The following is a 26,346-nucleotide window of genomic DNA, read 5'->3' on the forward strand; positions in this document are numbered from 1 at the left end:
ATGGAGGGGAATGTCAAATCCCTTGAGGTTTATCCCTGTAAACTTCACCGGAGGAAGTGTATCTGCATCTTGGCTTATTGTGCTTCCTATTTCAGTAACCTTAATAAGTGCTAAATATGCTTCTTTCAGTTATTTTTCAGCATATTTCTCCAAATCACCCAGTAGCAAGTCTTAACATGTCTGCCTGTTGTTTTAACGAAAAAATCTCAGCTCCTTATCAGGAATCCCACTGGGACACAGGCTAAATTCTATGCTGATAAATCAGTTCAGGCTAGGATAGAGCCCTAGTGATGAAGCAGTTATTTTGTTCAATAAATATTTGCCTATTTGCTACATATGAACACTATGGAAAACCTAGTCAAAATCCCATTTTCATGTGCATTATCTTTGTTATTACTGAAAGGAGCCAATGTGACTTTGCTAGAAAACATTTTTTCTTTTACTTACAGCTAATTCATTCACTCATTCAATAGACAGCTACTGAGTATCTATCATGGGCATGGTCCCAGCCCTGTAGGAGCTCACAGTTTGGGCAAGGGCAGCTGTGTACTGGGTATGTGTGTGATGGTGCTGGTGGATGTGCATGAAAAGTTATGTAGATAATTATAATCCAGTGTATTACAGACAGTGTATGTGAAGGACCTAGGAATGGGGCCCAAAACCAACTTGGGGATCTGGTGAAGGTTGGTAGAGTTGGGCAAGACTTCCTGAAGAAGGTAACACCTGATTGGGTTCTCTCTCTCTCTCTCTTTTGAGATGGAGTCTCACTCTGTAGCCCAAGCTGAAGTGCAGAGGCACGATCTCGGCTCACTGCAACCTCTGCCTCCAGGGCTCAAGTGATTCTTGTGCCTCAGCCTCCCAAGTAGCTGGGACTACTGGTGCGTGCCACCACGCCAAGCTAATTTTTTGTATTTTAGTAGAGACCAGGTTTTACCATGTTACCCAGGGTGTTCTTGAACTCCCGAGTTCAGGCGATCTGCCCACCTCAGCCTCCCCAAGTGCTGGGATTACAGCTGTGAGCCACCGTGCCCGGCCCAATTGAGGTTTTAAGTCCAAATAATTGCGTTAGGCCAAAGGGGAAGGGAAAAACAGACTGGCAAATTCTGATAACTTGAAGCAGTTTGGGGTTATTGCAGTTGCTTAATATGAAACTCAGGGGGTGATCTGAGAGGATGAAGGAAGGGTGGGTGGACCCAGGATATGGAGAGTTGGGTATCCAGGGTTAAATAGCTTGGCCTTTACTCTTTAGCAATAGGAATCCTGAAAGATTTCAATCAGGGGAAAATGGAAGGTGAGATACGTGTTCTCGAAAGATACCTCTTCACAAAAGTTTCAAAAACAGGAGTGCTTTTTGGCCCAGCAATTCAATTTCTAGGAAATTAATGTGAATGGGACCAAAGACTTAGCTACTAGGAAAACAGCGACACTATCTTTACCTATAAGAGTGAAATCTTGGAAATCAAATAAAGGCCCAACAATGCAGAGATTAAAAAAATAAATTCTAGTAAATATATATAGTGGAAAAATTATATATTCTAAAAATATTAAAATAAATTTATAGACAAGGAACAACATATAATAAATTCAAGACAGGGAAAAGTCAGGGACAACACTGTATATTCAGTGTGATCTCCTTTTGAATATTTATTTATATATCTATACATATATATGAACATATTGAATTACATATGACTAGGTATAAATATCTGAATAGTAGGATTACCAGTGCTTTTTTTCCTTTTTACTTATCCGCATTTTCTAATTTTTAAAGAATAAATATTATTACTTTTCTAATATAAAAATAAGTTTATTTAGAATATTTTACATAAAAGCAAGTAACGTTGCTTTGGTAGCTATGTAAAGGAGGACAGAGAAGCAGAAATGCCCACTTTGAAGTTTATCTTCCATCTTTTGCTATATTATGTTGTGAAATATTTTGTGTTCTCCTTCTTGCTCCAATCCTGCGATCTCAGACACTTTGGAATAAGAATTAAAAGCATGAGCCTTCCGTTACTGCTCAGTGTTAGGTTTGGAGTCTCTAAGTCTACATTAGGGTCCAACCCCTCTTTCGCTCCTGCCTTAGTAGCTCTGGGGTGACAACCATCTCTTGCCATCTGCCTGGTTGGGGCTCATGAGCCACAAGGCACTTATTTGTTTTAAACAAGGTAAAGCCATCCCCAAGCTCACTGCTGAGTTCTGAACCCTGTTGACTCTTCACAGTTGCTCCATTGCAATGAGTTACTCTTGAGACCTATCAGAATATCATTTCTAACCCGTTTAAGCCACCTTGCAGATCGCAGCCAGTCCTTTCCTAATCCCTTTATGTGGCCTCTTATATTCAGATCCAAGCTCCTCAAACTTCACATTGGATTATTTTCAAATTGTCTTCTTCTCATTTTTGTTGAGATTTCATTCAGCCTGGTTTGATGTCATCCCTTAAAGTAGTGGTTCTAAAATTCCTACATGAATAAGAACTAGCTGGGGAGTTTGCTAAAAATGCAGATTCTTCATCCCCACCCCTTGGCAATTCTGATTTAATAGTTCTAGCTCTGAGTTTGGAGCTCTGCATTTTAATGGACGCCCCAGGTGATTCTCATGGACATGGCTCATGGACGTCGCTTTGAGAGGGGCACAACACCTTCCTCTCCTGATCTGCACAACATAGCACTCTTCCCCTGCCCCCTTGCCCTCTGCAGTGGCTCTAGAAAAGTACATTATACAGCACTTTCAAGAATAATATATTTAGAAGTTAATAGTTCATGATCCACAGAATCCAGGAGGAGCCATAGTAGACCACAGGGTGGTCCTTGGTGCCTCTGAGCTTGCAGATGAAATTTTTATTGTGCACTTTTTTTTTCTGGTAAGAAGGTCTGCAGCTTTCAACAGTGTCAGAGAAATCCATAATCCAAAAAGTTAAAAGACCCTAAAAATCCGTTAAACATATTTATGCCTTAAAAATTAAGTACCTTCCTATTTGACATGCTTCATGTCTAAAGTTTGTGTAGCTTAAATTATTTTGGGGGGGCAGGGCCCATGCCTTGGCATATATCCACTGCCTTGGCACACATAGAAAGAATATATACGCTGGGAGGATGGTGCAGAAAACTCTGCTGTTGATCATCACCTCTCCCCAACCCTAACATCCTGTTTCCTTGGTATTTTCCTGTTATTTATATTTTTCTTCATGTATACCTATCTCACCCTCTTTCTAGATAACTGGATAGCCTCTTCCTGTTCACTCCTGTGCTCATTAGAATGTATTTCAAATAACAGAAACAAAAGTTGAATTGTGTTTAAGAAGGGAAGGGAATGGGAAGATTTTTGGGTTTTTGGACACATGACTGAATATTCATGCCAGGGAGGCTGCAAAATAGGATTTTTTATTTTATAGTCTTTAAAATAGAGAAAGAGTTTTGGATAGCTAGCATCTTTTGCAGTTAAGGCTTGGGCACAAAACCTAGATCCACCAATTGGATTGGAAGATAAGCAGGTGAAGTAGCCAGGACTTTGCTGAATCCATTTTGGTGGTGGATGGTGGTAGCAGCATTTCGACAGTGTCCTGTGTGCAGTACTGGAGGTGCAAGCTACGATGTTTAGTGATACAATAGTGGTGGGAGGTGTAGTGGTGTGGGTGTGCCTTCACTAGACCAGTTCTATGGCATAGATTTTGGAGTTGTTCCCAGTTGCATGGCTTATATGTTAGGGTCTGCTGCCTTTCCTTAGGTTTGGTGAGCTACTCAGTAGACTTTTGAAGATTCCTTTCTGCTGAAATACACCCTAGTTAGTTTCTGCTGGCTCTTTTTTTCCAAACATATCAGACACAATCCTGCTTCCGTATCTTCATCATGTCCATTTTCTCTTTTTGAATGACATGGTTTTTAATCTAATTTCATCAGAAATCATAACCCATTTAAGAAATTGTTATGATAGTTTCCTCTCTCTTTTCTTTCTTACTTTATTTTTTAAAAAATGTTTGATCATGAAAATTTTCAAGCTTACACTAAAGTAGATAGAATAGTATAGTGAATTCCCATAACCTGTCACCTGGCTTCAACATTTTACCATTTACGTTTCATATTTCTTTTCCCATGCCTTTCTGGAGATAGAAGGAGAGGAGATGGGATATTTTATGACAGCTCCAAGACATCATATCATCTCACCCATACATACTTTATATGTATTTCTAACAGAAAGAGTATAAAAATGAGATAAGCATAATATACTTATCATACCTAATACAAATTAACAATACTTTTAAAATGTCATTCAATTCCAGCCCACGTTCAAACTCTCCCAGTTTTCCCCAGAATGAATTTTTACAATTGGTTTGTTTTAATCAGGGTCCAAATAAAGTCCACATAAGGTATTTCAGTGATATGTCTCTTTTTTCCTGTTTATTTATTTATTTATAATTTTTAGTAGATATGAGGTCCCTCTGTATTGCCCAGGCTTGTCTCAAACTCCTGGGATCAAGCAATTCTCCCACCTTGGCCTCCCAAAGTGCTGGGATTATAGGAATGAACCCCCAAGCCCAGCCTCTAATTCATTTTTTATTGATATATAATTCACATGCCTAATATGTCTCTTAAATCTTCTAAAGCCTTTACAAGTTCTTCCTTCCCCTTTATTTCATGCTATTTATTTTTTGAAGAATTTCTCAATGTCTTACAGAATTTTTAAATCTCTGGGTTGTCTGATTCTATTTTTGTGATGTTATTGACGTGGTCTTCTCTTGCATTTTTTTTCCTGTGAACTGGTGGTTAGACCTAGGGGCTTGATTACATTTAGTTTTCATATACCCTAGATTTTTTTTTTAAAAGATGGAGCTTAGTCACATCGCTTCCAGGAGTCTTAATATCCCGACCCCCAGTGGTTGCTCTTTTCTTAGACAATTGTAGTATTTATCTATCGCTCTTGTTATCCATTAAATCCTGCCCATTTCTACTCCTAAAAGGTCAAGGACCATGTCCTGTGTGCAGGGACCACATATGTGTCATCATTGCTATTTCCCCATACCTAGGGCACAATGTGCCTGGCACAGAGTGGATGCACCAAAAATAGCTGTTGAGCTAAGAGGATATGAGAGTACAAATCATACACTGGGTATCTGCTGCTTAGCATTGCTGCTTTATGTGTGGTTTCTCATTGTGTTACAAGCCTTGACTCAACTCATGGACTGGAAGCTTCATGAGGGGAGGGAGGAAGTCAAATATATTTTTGTATTCCAGGTACCTAACACATTGCCATGCCCATACCTTGCACATATTTAGTATAGAGTAAATGGGGAACCCTTGCCTATCCATCTCTGAAGGATTTTTGTGAGCTCAAATAAGAGATGTATGTGACAAGTGTATGTAAAAAGTAATGTATTACATAAATACATGTAATATTAATAACAACAATTATAATCTGTAGTCATTGCTTTTGTACATTTAATAGGCTCAGTCTTTAGTTTAAATGTATGGATCTATTGCCTGTTATCATCTATTTTTCAAAGTGGTACCTAACCCTAGGGCTTAACTCATTAATGAAGAGGGATTACAGGGTACATCTATCAGGTGGCCAGCTTTTGGTTATGTGGATTAATGGTATAGCAATCCACAGAAAATCATCCATTTAAAGGAGTGAAATATTTTTATGGTGATTATGCGAAGCTCTTGTGGTTGCAAGTGACAAAAAAATAGTTCTAGCAAAAAGGAATTTTTTTTTGTTCATATATCTAAAAAGTCCAAGGATATCTGACTTCAGGTATGGTTGGAACAAGGAAGTGAAACAATGTTGTCGTACTTTTCTATTCTTTATCTTTGCTTGTCTCTTCTTCTTTTTGTTGATCTTATCTCATTCTCTTCCATTTCAAATTAGCTTCCCTAATTGCCCATGGGTAAGTAGCTCCAGATTTTCTTCTTTCTAGCAAAGCAAACAGTCTTCTCCCATTGCCCTAGCAGAGAAGTCCTAAGGAGGACTTCTAGTCATCTCAAGGTCCCCTGTCCAGTCTTAAAGGAATCAGAATGCACTGGGTAGCAGACTGCACTGTAATGGATAACCCAGCCATATGTAATGGAAAATAAGTTTTCCTGAACAAGGAGTAGGATGAGACCAGAAGAAAAGGTATAGGAGAAAAAAATAACAGCTATCTGTGTGAACCTCAGGACAACCTCAGCTCAGAGGTCTGCACCCTGGAGACCTCTCTTGCGGGTGTACTTAGTTGAAGATGAATTCGGAGGTCTTGGTTTTCCTGAGTTTTCTTTCCTTTGAGGTTAGTCCCTTAGGTCTGGAAGGTCACTATTTGATGTAATAAGTGATGGGTAGACTGTTTCACTGCAGATCTAAAGAAGTTATAAACTGCAGTTGTAACATAAAGTCTGTGATAGCCTTCAGTGGGTCAGCTGACCAAAATTATGCACAGTTTTGTTTCTATCTGTATTTTCTGAGAAGAGGATCCGTAGCTTCCCTCAGATTAAAAAACTTCTGGTGAGCCCAAAGATTAGGCAGCTTCCCATGTTTCTCAATGGGGATACATACCACTGAAATTTGGACAAGAAAATTTGTTATTGTGCAATATGTGTAGTGTCTCTGGCCCATACCCCTTAAACGTCTGTAACATCCATAAGTTATTATGACAACCCCTCCTCCCATATTCCAAGCACTGATAATTGAGAGCCCAGATGAGATTAGAAGTCTAGACTGCATGTTTCCTTCATGTTTGATCTTTCTTCTTTCTCTCCCAGAGAACATGAAGGAAACACGTTTTCTTTGTTTGCTTTTGACAGCTAATTTCCAGCAGTCCATCTATTAAGGAATCTAGGATCCCACTTTTATGAGCACAAAACTCCCACTTTCCTTAGGGGTGTTCTCAGGTATTCTGACATAGTTTAATAGTTTCAGGGGAGGGCCTAAAAGTCGTATGTTGGGGACTAATTTTTATTCTGAAAATTTGGTAATTGCTACTGCAACATAGTGTGCCTTCTGCACTTTTTCCAAATCACCTTGAGAACTCCAGCCCTAACATCGATCCATCCTACTGGATGTCTTTTCTGATGTGAAATTAAAATGTTTCAGTGGGAGGCAAGATATGCAAAGGGGTAACTCCTGGGAGGTGCCCAGTTGTCACTGTAGCCTCTTTAGAATTTTCTCCTAGGACAGTCATTTAGTTTATTAATTCTGAAAGGCCAAACACCAAAATGAGATGTTAATCTGAAAGGAATAACTTCAAGACCTAATAAAGAATGACCACTGAGCAGAGTTTTTATAGATTGCAAATCACTTTCTCTTACATTTGACCTTGCAACATCTTCTAAAACTGGTTTGCCAATCTCTTCTTTTATGGATGAAGAAATGGAGGCTTCTAGGAACCAAGTGACATGCTCAGGATTGCACAGCTCTTCTTAGAAGGACTGGGGATTTCAACTCTGAGTCTTATACCTTTAAATGCCACTGTAACTCTATACTGCCTCCCTGATGCCTCAAAACACTTTTGAAAAGAAGGAACACGTCCTACTGGAGCTAATCAGAGGGAAGAACTAGAAGTACAAATGAGCCACAACGGAGAGTTTTAAAATTCTCTTCCCTAAGTGAGTTCCGGGAAGCTCGGGAAGGGGTGGACACTTGTACAGTTCACTTGTACATCTTCACTCCTGAAATGCTAGGACAAATCTCATTTGAACTCCCAGTCAACTGAGAAATTAAAAGCAGAGAGCAACGACGCTATTTTGTAACTTTGTGCCTTTTAAAATTAACCGAATCTTTCAATTGCTGCTGTAGATTAGAAGTGGCTACTTGGATAAAGGGGAAAGAGCCATTCAACTGATGAATACTATTGTAAAAGTCCAGACTTAGTTCTAGAAAAGGAACGCACAAGAACAATTTCTCCAATAACGTTTTCATTACAGAGCGAAGGAAAGTTCTTCCTCGTTGTTCCAATCCGAGGACAAGCTGATATGTCGCAGCAGCCCAGGGAAGCATGCGAGCTGATAGGAAGTCCTTTTATTTTAAGACAGGCTCGAATGCTAAAACTTTCTTGTGCCAAAACCCTTGACTATTTTATTTTTAAAATAAGCACTTGGCGTGCCCTCGCAGATGTCTGAGCTGAGAGGTCGGGGCGATGGTAGAAGAGCAGTCAGTGTCCATTCTTATTCATATTAAGTAGCCAAGTCTGTACCCTTGAAGCAAGTGGGGAGAGAGGAGGGAGAGGAGCTGCTGACATTGACAATGAATCCAAACAGGAGTTGCACTAGCGGTGTCCACCACGTTGCCTCTCCCCCGCCTGGCCTTCTGGGAGCTGTAGTTTTCGTGGGAGCGGCTCCCCAGGCGAGCTGGGAATGCCCCGCCCGGGCCGAACTACAGATCCCAGGCGGCGCTCGGCCGCCAGCCCCTCCCGCCCGGGTGCGAGTGTAAACTCCCCGCGCTGGGGCGGGCGGCCGCGAGCCGGCGAGCGGGCAGAGCTCGGCACTGCGCCGGGGCGCACGGCTCGGGGGACCCAGGCCCAGCTACCTTCCCTCCGCCCCCGGGCTCTGTTCTCACTTTCCAGCAGTGGAAGGACGGGAAGCGGGAGCCATGCAGTCCGAATCGGGGATCGTGCCGGATTTCGAAGTCGGGGAGGAGTTTCATGAAGAGCCCAAAACCTATTACGAACTCAAAAGTCAACCGCTGAAGAGCAGGTGAGTGGTGACAGCTGGGCAGAGGCGCACCGGGCGGCTGGGGGGCACTGCGTCTGCCACTCTGGGGCGAGGAGAGCGGGTCGCGGGAGCTCTGGGACAAGGACCCAGTGCCCTTGCCCCGGAGCAGAGGGCGAACTGCCCCTCGCAGTTGGGGGCCGCGCCTGCCCGGCCCAAGTGCGCCTTTAGGAAGCTCGGATGGAGCGCACTTCGCGGGGGCGCGGCGGGTCGCCGGGGACGAAGCGTCCAGGCGCGGGGACCCTCGGCCGAGGATGCCAGCTGCTGAGACTGATTGGGGGCTGGGGAGCGACCTGGCGCGATGTGGGGGAGGAGGAGCGCCGGGCCGGGACGCTGTCCCGGTGGGATGGGGGAGAAAGAGTTCTAGTGAACCCCCTTTCTGAAGATCCCAGCGGGTTGAGGGCTCGGAGAGGGAGAGCTTTGGGTGGACTGAGATGCGACATTGGAGGGAAGCAATTAGTTCGCTTGGAGTCACCTCTTGGGAGTCCGGTCTCTGTGGGGAAACTAGCCTCTGGGCTCCTGCAGGTGAGGTTTCTCTGGGCTCCGCCTCTCACCTCCAGACCGCTGCTAGCGGGCGCGGGAGGGGCCAGGGCAGCGGTGGGCGTGTCCCCTTGTTCAAGTTAAACTCTCTGGAAATAGAGTCCCATTCAAATCCAGGCCTTACCTGCAGAGGGGAAATGAGCCTTGGTCTTGGGGGTTACTGGGAGTGTACCCCGCTTGGCAGAGACACGTGTTTAATTCGCTGGGGACTTCAGAAACTTTTTAGACGAGGAGTGAAGACATCCACTGCTCTGATGCCCCATCCCCTCTAGTGCCCACTTCCCTTGAGCCACCCTTTTTGCTGCCTCCATTCCCACTTGTCTGTCGAAATGGATTGGGTGTCTTCCGTTCTCTCTGTCCGGCAGCCACTCTGGACGCCTCGTACTTCTCGTTTACAATGTTTCCTAAAAGGGACATGGTCAATGGAGGCTGGAATAGCTGAGAAGGGTTTATTTCCACCCCTCTAAGCTGTGAGCTAGGATAAGGCTATCATTGGAAGCATCCAGCAGGGCTTCTGCACTCGGCTGTAACTTCCTGCCTTGCCCTTCGCTGTGGATGGGGCCTGGGTGAATGGGCCTGGCTGGCAGAGTGGGAGAGGGTCTTGAAATGAGGGTGAGTGGAGAAGGGCAACTGAACGGGGAGCCAAGTGGTGTAATCTTGGCCTCTGGCGAGCACTGGGCTGGTTCTTTTTCTAGTGGAAAGTGCAGCCAGGTTTATTTCCTTCAGGGCTGTGGCAGGACTCTTTATCCAAGTTGGGGAAGAAAATCTGGGAACAGCGGTCCTACTGACTGCCATTGCTGAAGACTCTTTGTAGATGCTTCACGGCAGATTGGAAGGAAACCGCCTAAGCAGTTGGACGTATAAAACCAGCCTTTAGTTGGTGGTTTTTCCTCATAATGGCTGTTTTGTGTGTGAGCATAGATTGTGTGTGTTGGGGGCTGGGGGTTTTGAGTAATATTGTGTGAAGGGTATTGTTGGTTATGCTCATCAGGGCTTTATCTGCATTCGGCTGAAGGGACCAGTGTTTTACTGGGCAGTCTCTGCTTTTGCTTCTATAAGCAAATGCTTACACGGCCAGAATGAGGGAATGAGTGTGTGTGTGGAATCCTGAAAGAAATAAATTAACCGGACTGTTTGGAACATTTCTGATGGTAGCTGATACATAACATTAAATCAGTTTGAGAGAGCGAGGAAAATACCATCTGGAAAAACCCAAATGAGTGCCGTGAAACTCATGTTGCACGATTTGGGCCTGTTCTTTTTCAGAGTCAGCAAAAAAGACTTGTAAGGGTGAACGTCCTCAGTAGCTAGCTAGCAGGCACGTGTAAGGGAAAATGTGGGTATGTGGGAAGAAATGGCTTCACACGTTAATGCTAGAAACAGGTGTGGGCCTGAACCAGCAGGGAAAGGAAGGCTAAATTAAAAAAGTTGTTGTAAAACTTGTATATGGAGCACACACATGCTCTTTGAAATAAACCAGTTAAATAAAATCTGTGAATAAATATATGGAGTTGGCAACATTTCTCTATACTGTTTTCCACAGTTGTCTAAGGTATTGTCGTCGACATCTGTTGTGTGACTTAAAAGGGCTGCACATTGTTCAGGGCCTTCTCTCTCATTGCTTTTTGTCTTATGTTTTTGCTGGGGCACCTCACTTCTTACAAGTCTTTGTCGGAAAAAGTTGAAATTGATATGTGAAGACTGCTGTAGCCGTTCTGCCTATCAACTGTCTTCTCTGGATTGTCCAGAGTTGTTAGAGTTGAAAATATGTCCAGAATCTGCCCGCTTCTTACCACCTCCTCTGCTACCACTTTGGTCCAAGCCACCATCAGCCCTTGCCTGGATTATTGCAGTAGTCTTTTAAACTGCAATACCCACATTTAGTGAATTTTCAGTATAGTAGCCACAATGTTCCTGTTAAAACTGGTTCTCAGTTGGAGGTGATTTTGCCCCTGGGGTCATTTGACAGTGTCTGGAGACATTTGTGATTGTTACAGTGGAAGGGATCATTACCCATATCTAGTAGGTGGAGGCCAGAGATGCTGCTAAACATCTTACAGTGCACAGGACAGCCCCCACAACAAAGGATTATCTGGTCCCAAATTGTTAGTAGTGCTGAGGTCAAGCAACTCTGTGTTAAACCTCAAGTCAGATCCTGTCATTCTCTGCCCAGAACCTGCCCATGGCTCCTAATTTCTCCCAGTAAAATTCAAGGTTCTTAAGATGTCAGCTCTGACCTTATCTCTTGTTGCCTGCCTCCTACCTCCCTCTGCTACAGCCAGGCTGGTCTCCTCACTGTTTTTGGAATACCCCAGGCCCTTCCACCACTGGGCATTTTTATATTGCACTTGCCTTGATCATCCTTTGCCCAGACAGACCCAGTGCTCACTCCCCCACCAACCAGTATGTGCCTGCCTCCAGGAGTCTTAAGAACATTAAGTGTGACGTTGACTGTGGGAAAGTATTAGCATGGTGCCTGGCACGTAGTAAGTGCTCAGGAAATGTTAGCAGATGTTGTTCTTGTTATTTTCTTTACAGTTCATTCTTTAAACATCATTCCCATCACACTGATAGTGTGGCCCTTTTTTGACCACAGTATTTGCGATTGCTGTTCCTCCAAATTCTCTGTCTTCTTTGTCCAGCTATATATTTTTTTCCCATAGGGCTTATATTATAATCTACTGTATAATTTTCCAATATGTTATGTTTATTACGTGTTTCTCCATGCTAGACTGCAAACTCCAAGGGAACAGGGTTTTCTGTTTGTTCCTTGCTCACTATTGTGTCCCCAGAGCCTAGAACAAAGTTTCTCAACCTCAGTGCTATTGATATTTTGGGCCAGATAATTCCTTGTTGTGGAGGGTCCTATGCATTGCAGGATGTCCAGCAGCATCCCTGGCCTCTATCTATTAGAGGCCAGTACTCCTGCCTCTATCAATTATGGCAACCAAAAACATCTCTGAACATTGTCAGACATCCCGTGGTAGGCAAAGTACCCTCATTTCAGAACCACTGGCTTAGAACAATGCGTGACACAATAAATATTTGTTTGAGTATGTGTTGCTTTCTTCCTTAATACCATAACCCACTCAAGGTATGGTATTTGGTTTTTTGTTTTTGCAATGAATATTGTGTTTCCTTTAAAATAGATACCTACTAGGCTTTCTCCAAAGAGGAATTCATATATTGTTCATTGGGGCTAACCTCAGATATTCAAGTCTTTCATGAGGAAGGACATGTTTCATTTCTAACCCAGACATCCTTGCCTTTAGGAATCTGAAGTTGCTGGATTTAGATTATGTGAATCTCATTTTGGTCATATTGGTGGTTAAGGCTGTGTATAGGAAGACACATGCTGTGGGAAAAGGTTCCAATGAATTGTTTGCACACCGTTTCCTCCGACAAGGTTTTAGAAACCTTGTGTTCTCCTGGGAATGAGTTCTGAATGGTGGGTGGCAGAGGAAAAGCGCTGAATATCTAGAGTGAGCCCAGAATTCACATAGGCATAGTCATGGCAGGGAAACAAATGTGAAACTGTTGAATGAGCTCCTAGGAGCAGAGGAAGTCTCTACAGGTCTTTTGTACCCAAAAACATTTTAAACCGTAGGAGCATCTTTCAGGCTCATAGTCCTTTTGTTTGGTTTACTCAGTCCACATGGCTTTGTAGTTGTTAATGTCCTTTTCCTGGACAGACTTCACAGTTGGCTTAGTTTAATTCCAATTTCTTCTTAAATCTTTAGTACTATTTAGACAGCTGTTATTACATTTTCTGCAAATTAGAAATGGGAATGAAAGTGAGTATTAGCTTTATCATGGCAGGACAGGATACAGCAGTGATCCCCAAATGCTGATTCACAAAGGTGTGTGAACTTTTAAAGGTTTGGGTGAAATGAGAAAGACAAAGACTGTTGCGTCACACGCATACCTACATATATTTGGGTGTAAGGCCGCTGCCATTTCTTGGAGTTATGCTGAGATGTTTTTCTCCTGTCTTCATATTAAAAAATGCCCTTTCTTTGATGACATAATAATCCATTCTTGGCAAAACAAAACTGTCAATCATTTTTTGATTTCTGAAAGTTTTCTTGATTTTTTTTTTGGTCTGTCTAATCTGAGGGAACCACTAGCATAGAGATGAAGAGCCTTGTTCTGCCATCGATGTCTGTCCCTAACTAACTGGGTGACCTTGGGCAGGCTGGGTGACGTCTAATTTCAGTTTCCTCATCTGGCAAATAGGGGCCTGCCTCCAGTAGTCTCAAGAATATAAGTGTTACATTGACTGTGGGAAAAGTATTAGCATGGCACCTGACACACAGTAAGTGCTCAGTGCTGACACATAGTAAATGCTCAGTAAATGTTAGCAGATGTTCTTGTTGCTATTTTCTTTATTACCTAGCAGCGAACCTGGCATTTTGGAAGGTGTTTTGCATTTGCTTGACTGTGGTTGTCTTCTCTAAGGCAAGTGTTGTTACGCAACACAGTTCTTTGAATGTTAGTAAATTCCTTTTTGCTTTTCTTCTAATGAAGTGTTCAGATAAATATTTTACACTTTGTATCTTTCATTTAATCATAACAATTCTTTTATGCTAGTTAAAAAAACTAACAATTTTGACATTAGTGTATCCATAAAAATTCGTGTTCAACACATATTTATTGAGTCCTAGTATGTGCACATTAATACTAATAATGATGGGTCACATTTATTGAGTATGTACTATGTGTGAGCCCCATTCTAAGTGTTTTTACGTGTGTAAAACCTATTTAATCTTTGTGAAATCTGCATGAGGTGATCATAATAAATAAAAACAATAATGATATTAATTATAATTTTAAAAACAGTTAAGACTTATCTAGTGCTTCCTATGTGCTAGGCACTATTATGAATATTAACTCTATATTAATGCTGTTAATTCAACCTTGGGTGTATGTAATAGTTTATTATTCTCATTCTACAGAGAGGGAAACTCAGGTATGCCAAGTTGGTGGGGCCTGGAGTTAAACTGATGCTTCTGTAGCTACATGCTCTTGTCCTCTAGTCTGTACTATGCCTGGTTGATTGTGCAAAATTCAAAGATACATCATACTGTGCCCTCCCTGTGTGGTGAGGGAAAGAGAACTCATGGGTCCAGCTAATTATACAAGGCAGAGTGTGGTCCCTGTGGCAGGGTGGGCATCAGCAGTTGGGGGCATTTAACAGAGGAAGGGGAACTGGGGAGGCAGTTTTGTGGACAAATAGGGGTGTTTGAGTTTGGCCTTAAAGGTGAAACAATAGTCAAATGTGTTTCTCTACACTAAGTAAAATGTTAGACATCTTGGAGGGCATGGTCCTAAAGTAGACATTTAGGGTTTCCGTTTGCCTTTTAAACTTCTAACCTTTCTTTAAGCTCTTTCTTGTGGTCTCCAGGCACCTGATGATACCTCATGGTGGCAGAGAGGCTGCATGCATGTGGACAGGTTTAGAGGGAGCCCTGCTTAAGTGCTGTCTGTGGTCGCTGCTTTGCCACTTAACCAGTACATCTGTGTTCAAGAAACTTAACTTCTTGGAGTCTCAATTTCTCTAAGCTGTAAAATGAGATCAATAGAACCCACCCCCTTAGGGTTGGTAGAACTTTTAAAACTAAGCAAAAATGTATAAATGTGTTTAACATAGCACCTAGCACTGTTAGTAAATGAAATTAATTCCTCCTTTTCTAGTAGAATTTTACTATGGTAGCAGTTTTTACCCTTCTCTTAAGAATAACTAAAACATATATAGAATCATGCATCCAAAACAAAGTAGACAAGATTGAGGTGCCTCAACCTGCAGATGTTCAAATCGTACTATGCAGATTCGTTTTGTGGTATGATTAGAGGGAACACTTGATTAAAGTGGGATTCTCAGTCTTGGTTTCGTTTGTTATTGGAGATTTCCTTTTCCCGATTACTACTATTTACAGATTTTACTTAAGTTGATATATGTTTAATTCCCTTTGAGTTCTGCAGTGCAGTTTGCACAGGCTGATGTTTATATCTGCTCCAGTTGTGCAAGAAGTGGAAAATATCCTTTTTTTAGAACAGATCACATGTGCTTACTGTCAGGAATAGGACCTCAGTGTAAAAAAATGTATCTTGGGACAAATCAAAGTTACTAAATTTCCCTCTCCAACTGCTTTGTTTCAGGATTGGCAGTATTAGGATAAATAATAGGAAAAAAAAATCCTTGGCTACTTTCTTTTTGTCATCTTTCAAGGACAATAAGTGAGAGTTTCATTTTTTTTGTGTGTGTGTATGTTTGTGTGTGTGAGGTATAAAATGTACTTTGCTGAGGGTTTGTCTAATCGGAATAAATTATAAAAATATGTTTGACTACACTCCAAGTATGCATTATTTGGAGAAAATAATCATGAAGACAGGTCAAAGATATTAAATGCAGCCACCACAAGCTTTTGATATTATAAAGGCAAATTTGCAGTTTATAAGAAGGTTTTTGTGAGTCTAGTGAACATTGTGTACTCCGAGGATAGGAATTATACCAAGGGATAAGTCTGCATCTTTATAGAGACAAACGAGGTCGAGAAGACCCACAGGGAGGTCTGGGATCTCTGTTGAAATTTCTGCACCTCCCGTTCTATTGCAAATGATCTTGGGAGGAGGACCAGGTTTGGCTTCTCAATGGTAAGCTTATTTCTCTAGCCCATTTCTACAATGTGGCTTTCTTATTTCTTCGCTTCGTCTTTCCCTCCTGTGGCTTTGGATGCATGCTGTGAAGAGTAGAGAAGTAGACCTTTGGAGTGTTCACCTGAGACCCCTGTCCTGGGATTCAGAGTGATGAAGCTTTTATCTTTAATGGCTGACCTTTCTGGGGACTTCTCAAGGACTGGGTGCTGAGTGTCAGTCTCTGTGCTGGCCATAGGGAGTCCAGTGGAGAAGCAGATGGGTTCCTGCTAGCATGGTGCATACATCTTGGAGGTGGCGCACAGTTAACAATGAACCAAATACATGAGCAAGATGAGTTTTACTAACTGCTATGGAAATTAAATGGAGCATTATTGGTAGAATGGGCCTATGAAAGAAGGGGGCTTTTTATTCGGTTGTATGATCAGGAATGACCTGTTGGAAGAAGTGATTTTCAGGCAAGACTGAATATCTGACATAAAGGCACAAATCCAGACACTACCACTCACTGGCTCTGTGACTTTGGTCAAGTTATCCAACCTTTCTGAACTCTAATTCTCTCTTCTGTAAAACGGGACAGTTGCCATCTTGCAAGGCTTCTGTGAAGATAAAAGGTAATGTATGTAAAGCAGCTAATATTAGGCTTGAGGCTTAGTAGGTGTTCAGGGTTACCCATAGGACTGAAGTTAACATATGAATAGTGGAAAAAGAAGCACAGACATTAATCTTTGTTATAAGTGTTTATAACTCAGTCTTAAATGTTTTCCTAATGTTGAGTGAGTCAGAGATTCATGCTTGTCTTTATAAACCTAACCCTGGACTAAAAGAGGAGATGGGTCTTGTTAGTTTTGTTATCCTTTCTTTCCTCTAGGATCATCCTACTTGATGTCATCCCTTGTTCTCCTGACTGTTGTTGTCCTGAGATAATTAATGTCTGACCATAGTTTTTGGGGCTGGATTTTTAATTACTTTTTTGGTGTTAAGGAGAGGCCTAAGTAATTGAGGATTAAAAAGGAAAGCCTGAGATTGATTTCACAAAACATACACGCCTACCACGAACAAATAACCAGTGTAGAACTCCTGACTCCTAGTCCTGTGTTTCTGTCCTGAGATCATGCTTCCTGTCCACTCTGTTGTGAAAATGTCAGTGTTGGTGCAGAAACAAAAAAGAAGAAGCTCTCCTCCCACATACCACCTCCAGTGTTCACCAACTTTGACATCCACAGGAAGTGGCATGCATTTAATTTGACATCTTTAAAAAAATCTTCAAAGCATTTGGATTTTAGTAGCTGTGTTCTTTGATTCAAGTACCCACAGAGTGATAATTTTCTTTCTTTCTTTTTCTTTTGAGGTGGAGACTCACTCTTTTGCCCAGGCTGGAGTGCAGTGGCATGATCTTGGCTCACTGCAACCTCCGTGCCCAGGTTCAAGCAGTAGTCCTGCCTCAGCCTCCCAAGTAGCTGGAATTACAGATGTGTTCCACCATGCTTGACTAATTTTTTGTATTTTTAGTAGAGGTGGGGTTTCGCCATGTTGGCTAGGCTGGTCTCGAACCCTTGACCTCATGTGATCCACCTGCCTTGGCCTCCCAAAGTGCAAGGATTACAGGCATGAGCCACCATGCCCGGCCAGAGTGATAACTTTCACAACGAAAAATACTGGGTTGTGTGACAGCAAATATTTTAAGTCTAAGTGCATGCCCTATAGAGGGCACTGGTAGAATCCTGTCATATAAGAAATTGTGCCTCATTGAGCAATTTCAGGAAGGCATCTGTGGTCTTCACCCTCCCCACCCTTGCCTCTTCTCCAAAGTGGGGTAACTTGCTGAATCATTCACACACATTCATCAGTTTTCCCATGTGATTAAGGGCATCATTGGAAAAGTGGTTGTCCCCACTGTTGGGAGAAAGCATAGCTTGTATTTGTAGAATAGGTTTCCTTCTGGGAAGGTTGACTTGCCTCAGTGGAAAGAAGACTTGAGGCAGAGAGGTTTCACTTAGCCTGGTGGCTGTGGTTATATATGAAATTACGAAATGACAGACAGGAATGCTATATTTACTTTGGTACCTTTACCATAAAATATTCCTAAATACTAACTGATTCTAGGAAGCATGTTTTTCAAAAACATACATTTTATTTTTTACAGTTGGAGATTTGAAATTTGGTGAAAGGAAATGCTCATGGAAATCCTAAAGATGATTTCCTTGTTTAACTCAGGACCTAGCTCAATCCTGGTGAAGGCTACTAGAGAACCTCATTGAGATGTAGCCACACTGTACCTCTTGCCTGCAGTGTGTCCTAAATTCGTAGAGATGGTGCTCTAAAACTGAGTTCATGAACCAACACACAGATATGTCATTGGTCAAATTGTAACATTCCCTTCCATCAAAAGGACTAGGTATATATTTGTCATTGTTTTGTTTTGTTTTTAGCATTTGAATTTTTTCAGCGAAAGGTGGAAAGGTATTATTTCAGTGTTAGTTTTGCTCTGCTGTATTGGTGAGCCTGCATAGTTGCACCATCTAAATTTAGGATGCTGGCACCTCAGCCAATAAGAACTCTTTGTAACTAATTTATAATGCTTTTGGCAGAGAGTGCCTAGAATAAACATTAAAATAGTGTTGGCCAGTTAAGGTCATTTACTTTCAAGGGAAGAGGGTGACCCCAAATATGCATTCTTGAAAATTCTATTTATTTAGTTTTAAAGGAAGAGTTTACAATAGCTTATGTGAAGCAATACCTAAAAATATAAGCAACTGGCATGATTCCTGGTCACATTCCGAATAAAGGTTTGTCCATTTGCTGCAAAGAAGCATGCTTGGAGGATAACTTGTAAGAGGTCGGCCACTGGCTTATGGTATATTAAACAACCAGTGTGTAGACTTTTTGGAACTGCATCTTGTATCATCTCAGCGTGGTAATTTTTCCACTGGTCTTTGGGTAGGTACACACTAATAATATTTTTTATCTAGGCAAATGCGAGATGAGTAAATGCTAAATGATAGGATTTTGGAAGGTAATTCTAACAATACTGATTATATTTGGAAGCTTTAAATTGTTGATTCAGCAGTGAATGAGAGAGTTTGATGGTGCTTGCTTGGTCATAATATCAAAATCACTAAAGTGCATGATGTAACGGCAGGGAGCTGAATGGCAAGGACAATTAATTGGGGTTTGTTTTTGGGAATCAATGATACCACATGTCAATCTGCTGTCCTTAGGGAGTCTCTCCCTAGTGTTACCCCTCTTTCTCACTTTTGGGTTCATATACCTGATACCTTTCTAAAAAAGTCAATTTCATGGCTCCAGGAGTGGAGAATCTGATACAGGCCTGGCTACATGTCCTTATCACAGGGATTGGTTTCACGGGGGTGCACATTGTTCAAAGTGAATCCCAGGATTTTCTTGGGTGCTACCACAACAGTAATATAGATCTGATAACAAACTTTCTAGAGGAAACTATAGAGCTTTCCTTTTTTTTTTTTTTTTTTCCTTTTTTAAAAACCAGTGAGTAATTATTATCAATGATTATCTCTGGCCTGACAATACAAGTGACACTCCTTTTTTTTTTTTTTTTTAACTAAATGTATTCTGATCTGGTGAATTTTTCATTCTAAAATAACAATACAAGAGTATTTAATATGGAGACATGAGATTTGTGGTAAAATCATTAGGGCAGTGGTTCTTAAACTCGAGTGTGCATCAGCATTCCCTGTAGGGCTTGTTGAAACAGATTTCAGGGACACACTCCCACAGTTTCTGTTTGGTAGGTCTGGAGTAGGGTCTGAAAATTTGCATTTCTGACATGTTTCTAAGTGATGCTGAAACTATTGGTTGAATCACACTTTGAAAAAATCATGGCACTAAGGTGGTGGTGATGGTGTTGGGAGTGGGGGTGATTTGCTCAATGAACTTGTGATAGAAAGCATTGCATAGAGATGGGATATAAATAATATATAAGCTTGGGTGACAGAATACCCATATTTGCCGTGTTTAATCAGAAAATGAATTTATTGGTTAAATAACAGAAAAGTCTAAAGATGGGGCTAACCAGGCCTTCCATGGATAGGATTCTTGGTTGTATAATGTGATCTCTGAGTGACTTAGAGTTAACCTAGCTTTACTACCATAAGGAGCCCTGGCCCAAATCTCAAAAAGGGGTTGTATTTTAATCTACACTCTAAAAGTGTGAAACTTGAAGCATACTGCAGTCACTTGACTGAAAGATTTGGTTGAGAAACAGGGTGATGGTGGTTTTGGGCATGTCCACATGACCAAACTGTTTTTCACAAAACTTCTGCTGAATAAAATTTGAAATACTACTGTCAGCCTGTTTTCCTGTCTTAATGAATTCCAGACAGTTTGTAGAGTGTGGGAGCTTCCAAAACAGAGAGGTGGAATGGATGTGACCAGCCAGCATCTGTTTTGTCACAAATGAGGATGTCCTGACATAATGGAATCGTTCCCCTTGTTCTGAATCTCACCAAGCTGTTCACTTCTCTGATCATGAAGTACAGACTGTGAGAAGGAAGGGCAAGGCCAATGTCATGTAACACAAGCCAAAAGAAAATTTCTGGATTCCTTATTTACCAGGAAATTCAGCCTACCCCTGTGTTTCATCCACTTAGACCCAAGCATTTTGATTTTTTTTTTTTTTTTTTTGGCATGTTGACATTCTTTAGAGAAAAAGCGCTGATCTGTTCTTGTTGTAAACTGGTTAAGACTTCTAACCAGTCTAATAAGTCTAAATTTCAGAGTAAGACAGATTTGAACTTAAATTCCAATTTGGCCACTTACTGGCTATATATGTGTCTTTGGGCAAGTTATTCTTGTGGCCTCTGTTTCAACAGAGGCTGATATGGTTTGGATCTGTGTCTCTACCATATCTCATGTCAAATTGTAATCCCCAGTGTTCCAGGTGGGGCCTGGTGGGAGGTGATTGGGTCATGGAGGCAGTTTCTCATGAATGGTTTAGCACTATCCCCTTGGTCCTGTTCTCATAATAGTGAGTGAGTCCTCATGAGATCTGGTCATTTAAAAGTGTGTAGCACCTCCCCTGTCATTCTCTCGCTGCTGCTCCCACCACGTGAGATGCCTCACTCCCCTTTTGCCTTCTGCCATGATTGCAGGTTTCCTGAGGCCTCCCCTGAAGCTGAGCAGATGCCAGCATCATGCTTTCTGTGGAACCGTGAAGCACCGTGATTTAATCAGCCCATGGAACCATGAGTGAATTAAACCTCTTTTCTTTATAAGTTACCCAGCCTCCGGTATTTCTTTATAGCAATGTGGACTAATACAGAAAATTGGTGCCAAGAAATGGGGCATTGCTATAAAGATACCTGAAAATGTGGAAGCAACTTTGGAATTGGGTAACAGGCAGAGGTTGGAAGAATTTGGGGGACTCAGAAGAAGATAGGAAGATGATGGAAAGTTTGGAATTTCCTAGAGACTGATTAAATGGTTGTGAACAAAATGCTGGTAATGATATGGACAGCGAAGTCCAGGCTGAGGAGGTCTGAGATGGAAATGAGGAACTCACTGGGAACTGGAATAAAGGTCACTTTTGTTATGTGTTAGCAAAGAGGTTGGCTGCATTGTGTCCCTGCCATAGGGATCTGTGGAACTTTTAACTTGAGAGTGATGATTTAGGGTAACTGGCAGAAGAAATTTCTAAGCAGCAAAGTATTCAAGATGTAGCCTGGCTGCTCCTAACAACCTATGTTTATATGTGTGAGCAAAGAAATTACCTAAAGTTGAACTTATATTTAAAGGGGAAGCAGAGTATAAAAGTTTGGAAAATTTGCAGCCTGGCCATGTAGTAGAAAAGAAAAGCACAATCCCCTTGGTCCTGTTCTCATAATAGTGAGTGAGTCCTCATGAGATCTGGTCATTTAAAAGTGTGTAGGACCTCCCTTGTCATTCTCTCTTGCTGCTGCTCCCACCACGTGAGATGCCTCACTCCCCTTTTGCCTTCTGCCATGACTGCAGGTTTCCTGAGGCCTCCCCTGAAGCCTCCCCATTTTCTGGGAAGTAATTCAAGCAGGCTACAGAAATTTGCTTAAGTAAAAAGGGGCCAAGTGCTAACATCCAACACAACGGGGAGAAGGCCTCAAAAGCATTTCAGAGAACTTTGCAGCAGACCCTCCCATCATGGGCCCAGAAGCCTAGGGGGACTGAGTCGTTTCCTGGGCCAGGCACAGGGCTCTGCTGCCCTGCATAGCCTTGGGACACTGCTCTCCACATCCTAGTTGCTCCAGATCCAGCTATGGCTCATAGAGGCCCAGGTTACACTCAGGCCACTGCTTCAGAGGGTGCAAGCTGTAAGCCTTGGTGGCTTCCATGTGGTGTTAAGCCTGTAAGTGCACAGAGTGCAAGAGCTGGGGCTTGGGAGCCTCCAACTAGATTTCAGAGGATGTATGGAAAAACTTGGATGTCCAGGCAGAAGCCTGCTGCAGGGGCAGAGCCCTCATAAAGAAACTCTACTAGGGCAGTGCAAAGGGGAAATGTGGGGTTGGAGCCCCTACACAGAGTCCCCACTGGGGCATTACCTAGTGGAGCTGTGAGAAGAGCACTGCCATCCTCCAGACCCCAGAATGGTAGATCTACTGGCAACTTGCACTCTCAGCCTGGAAAAGCCACAGGCAGTCAATGCCAGCCCTTGAGAGCAGCTGCAGGGGCTGAACCCTGCAAAGCCACAGGGGTGGAACTGCCCAAGGCCTTGGGATTGCACTTCTTGCACTAGTGAGCCCTGGATGTGAGACATAGAGTCAAAGGAGATTATTTTGGAGCTTTAAGACTTAATGACTGCCCTGCTGGGTTTTGGACTTGCATGGAGCCTATGGCCCCTTTCTTTTGGCCAATTTCTTCCTTTTTGAACAGGAAAATTTACCCAATTCCTATACCCCCATTGTATCTTGGAAGTAACTAACTTGTTTTTTAATTTATAGGCTCATAGGCAGAAGGGACTAGCCTTATCTCAGATGAGACTTTGGACTTTTGAGTTAATGCTGGAATAAGTTAAGAATTTGGGGACTGTTGGGAAGCCATGATTGTATTTTGCAATGTGAGAAGGAAGAAGGATATGTGATTTGGGGGACCAGGGGTAGAATGATATGGTTTGAATCTGTGTCCCCACCAAATCTCAGGTCAAATTGTAATCCCCAATGTTGCAGGTGAGGCCTGATGGGAGGTGATTTGGATCATGGAAGTGGTTTCTCATGAATGGTTTAGCAACACCCACTTAGTGCTGTTCTTGTGATAGTGAGTGATTCTTATGAGTGTGGCACCACCCCTGTTAGTCTCTCTCTCTCCTTTTTTTTTTTTTGAGACAGAGTCTCACTCTGTCACCCAGGCTGGAGTGCAGTGGCATGATCTAGGCTTACTGCAACCTCCACCTCCTGGGTTCAAGTGATTCTCCTGCCTCAGACTACCGAGTAGCTGGGATTACAGGTGCATACCAACACGCCATGTTGGCCAGGCTGGTCTTGAAATCTGTCCCCCTTGGCCGGCCAAAGTATTGGGATTACAGGTGTGAGCCACTGTGCCTGGCCCCCTGTCACTCTCTCTTGCTCCTGCTTCCACCATGTGAGATGGCTCACTCCCACTTTGCCTTCTGCCATGATTGTAACTTTCCTGAGGCCAACCCAGAAGCTGAAAAGATGTCAGCATCATGCTTCCTGTACAGCCTGCAGAACAGTGAACCAATTACATCTCTCTTTTTTTTTTTTTTGAAATAAATTACCCAGTCTCAGGTATTTTTTTTTGTAGCAGTGTGAGAATGGACTAATACAGAGGCTAAAAGAGGACAGTGCATAATAATATGATCTAAGTGATAGGGTAATTGTACAGATTAAAAGAAATACATGGGTAGAGTGCTCAGCCCAAAGCCTGGCTTTTAGTTCCCTCGTTCTGATTACCTCTGTATTCACAGCATCAACAAGGTTTTTGACTTGAATTTCTAGTTTTAGACACCTTAATAAAGAAAAAACGACTCAAAGGCAATCAGTGTGGGGGTTGGGGGGAGAGGATCCATAGAACAGTGGGGAGGAGGAGGCTAAGGGAGGGAGGAGGGTAAATAGTCTTTAAGTTAGGTAATCAGCATTAGGATTTTTGGGAGTTGATACAGGTCAAATAGTGGTGAAAGGTGGGATGCCTAACAGGAAGATATTTAAGGATGGCACATGCTATTTACAAGCATGGTGTTACTTTTGTTGCCAGAACAATTTTTGTCTTTATCAACATGTTTCCTTTCATCATAATTATAGACTATAGCTAAGTGGAGAAATAAATAATGAGATACACTAATTGGGGTTACACAATACCAAGGCTGTGTAGCACTGCTGTCTCAACACAGAAATCTCGAATTCCTAACTGTCATGTTTCGGCCTTGGCCATAGTGACTTCCTACCTTATCTTTTCCCACTTGACTTGGCAGCCTGTTTATATAGTTATCTTTATCCAATATAAGCCATAAGGCCCTGTATTCTTGAGCCTCAAAATCTTTGTATCTTTTACCCTTCTGGGTTTTTTTTTTTTTTTTTTTTTTTTTTTTTTTTTTTTTTGGGAATAGCAGTATATAGCCACTTTAGAGACTAGGATATAAGTTTTCAAGGGTTTTTTCTTTCCCCGACACGAATATGATAGTTTGCTTTTCTTGATTGTCACACAATTTCTCTCCCGAAAACTGTGGCTTAACTGGTCACTAGCAAGCATAAAGGGGAAAAAAAAAGCAGAAAGGGGGGTTAGTCCAAATAGTATCCATCTTTCTCAGGGGAGAGATTTCGATTATATTACACATGTATGTGGATACCTTCATCAGTTACAGTTTAGTCATTGACTAACTTGGACAACTGGGTGCCTACCTCATTGAATAGTTGTGAATATTCAATAAGGTGATGAGATGCTACCTGTAGTAAGGGTGCAGTAGATACCAGCTGCTGCTGCTCACCTTACTGCTGCTCCTCCTCCTGTACTATGATTATTGCTCTCTGCCTACTGCTGTTTTGTGCTACTACTGGTGTCATTGCTACTAGAACTTAGAAGTTTGCATAAGAATGGAAGAAATGGTTAATCACAGAAACATTTCTCTGTGCAGGTGGTATTGACTCTCTCATTGCCTTATCACTGTTGAGTAAATAAGCAACAGTTTGGTTCTCTATCGCTGAAAAAACTCTAACCACATAGTCAATTCTCAAATCCTTGGGGTATATGTGGCAAGTTTTTTTTTTTAAGTTCTAGGATACATGTGCAGAATGTGCAGGTTTGTTACATAAGTATACATGTGCCATGGTGGTTTGCTGCACCTATCAACCCATCATCTAGGTTTCAAGCCCTACATGCATTAGGTGTTTGTCCTAATGCTCTCCCTCCCCTTGCCCCACAACCCCCGACAGGCCCTGGTGTGTGATGTTCCCCTCCCTGTGTCCATGTGTTCTCATTGTTCAACTCCCACTTATGAGTGAGAACATGCAGTGTTTGGTTTTCTGTTCCTGTGATAGTTTGCTGGGAATGATGGTTTCCAGCTTTATCCATGTCCCTGCAAAGGACATGAACTCATTTTTTTTTTATGGCTGCATTGTATTCCATGGTGTATATGTGCTACATTTTCTTTATCCAATCTATCATTGATGGGCATTTGGGTTGGTTCCAAGTCTTCGCTATTGTAAATAGTGCTGCAATAAACATACATGTACACGTGTCTTTATGGTAGAATGATTTATAATCCTTTGGGTATATACCCAGTAATGGGATTGCTGGGTCAAATGGTATTTCTGGTTCTAGATCCTTGAGGAATTGCCACACTGTCATCCACAATGGTTGAACTAACTTGTACGCCTACCAACAGTGTAAAGCGTCCCTGTTTCTCCACAGCCTCACCAGCATCTCTTGTTTCCTGACTTTTTAATGATTGCTACTCTGACTGGTGTGAGATGGTATCTCATTGTGGTTTTGATTTGAATTTCTCTAATGACCAGTGATGATGATCTTTTTTAAATATGTTTGTTGGCCGCATAAATGTCTTCTTTTGAGAAGTGTCTGTTGATATCCTTTGCCCACTTTTTGGTGGGGTTGTTTTTTTTCCTGTAAATTTGTATAAGTTCCTTGTAGAATCTGGATATTAGACCTTTGTTAGATGGATAGATTGCAAAAATTTTCTCCCATTCTGTAGATTGTGTGGCAAGTTTTTAAACCTATCATAGCACTGGGTTGCAGCCCAGGAGTCTTCCAGACCACTTCCCCCAACTATCAGCTGTTGTGTGCATAGGAATGAGATTACCAAGTTTGAGTACCAATTAAAGGAATGCATATTCTATCAGAATCCATATATATATATTCATACAAACATATGTAGGATTCTCAAGGCAGTGTTTTTCAAAATATTTTCAGACTTTCTCCAGTATTCTTACTAACCAAAACTTGACTCTTGGTTAAACAGTTCCCATTCAGAGTTTTATAAGAAAAGAGGAAAAATGAAATTCTC

General features: G+C 41.9%; 1 protein-coding gene across 6 annotated transcripts in view, besides 5 other annotated features; it reads left to right on the forward strand.

Annotated features, from left to right (window-relative positions):
- Window positions 6,214-8,556: a promoter, noted in NCBI's record as "-2233 to +119 fragment for MITF-A promoter". NCBI's record gives the evidence for it as "EXISTENCE:reporter gene assay evidence [ECO:0000049][PMID:10760582]".
- Window positions 6,214-8,655: a biological region, named in NCBI's record as "MITF-A promoter region". NCBI's record gives its function as "regulatory_interactions: MITF".
- Window positions 7,938-7,979: a protein binding site, noted in NCBI's record as "PAX site A5". NCBI's record gives its function as "positive regulation of transcription" and the evidence as "EXISTENCE:protein binding evidence [ECO:0000024][PMID:12756174]".
- Window positions 7,938-7,979: a protein binding site, noted in NCBI's record as "PAX site A5". NCBI's record gives its function as "positive regulation of transcription" and the evidence as "EXISTENCE:protein binding evidence [ECO:0000024][PMID:12756174]".
- Window positions 8,356-8,655: a silencer, noted in NCBI's record as "silent region_14519". NCBI's record gives its function as "represses an Ori minimal core promoter by ATAC-STARR-seq in GM12878 lymphoblastoid cells {active_cell/tissue: GM12878}" and the evidence as "EXISTENCE:reporter gene assay evidence [ECO:0000049][PMID:35858748]".
- MITF (melanocyte inducing transcription factor) overlaps window positions 8,420-26,346 on the forward strand; it is a 228,869-nt gene continuing 210,942 nt past the window's right edge. For all 6 annotated transcript variants that reach the window (NM_001354607.2, NM_001354608.2, NM_001354604.2 and 3 more), the window contains exon 1: window positions 8,420-8,657. Coding sequence is in view for 4 of the 6 variants with exons in the window: in NM_001354604.2 (NP_001341533.1) it covers window positions 8,554-8,657 (104 nt within the window). In the remaining 2 variants the exon portion in view is untranslated. The remainder of the gene's footprint in view (window positions 8,658-26,346) is intronic.

Source organism: Homo sapiens, chromosome 3 (assembly GCF_000001405.40).
Source record: "Homo sapiens chromosome 3, GRCh38.p14 Primary Assembly".
In the NCBI taxonomy this organism is placed as follows: Eukaryota; Metazoa; Chordata; class Mammalia; order Primates; family Hominidae; genus Homo; species Homo sapiens.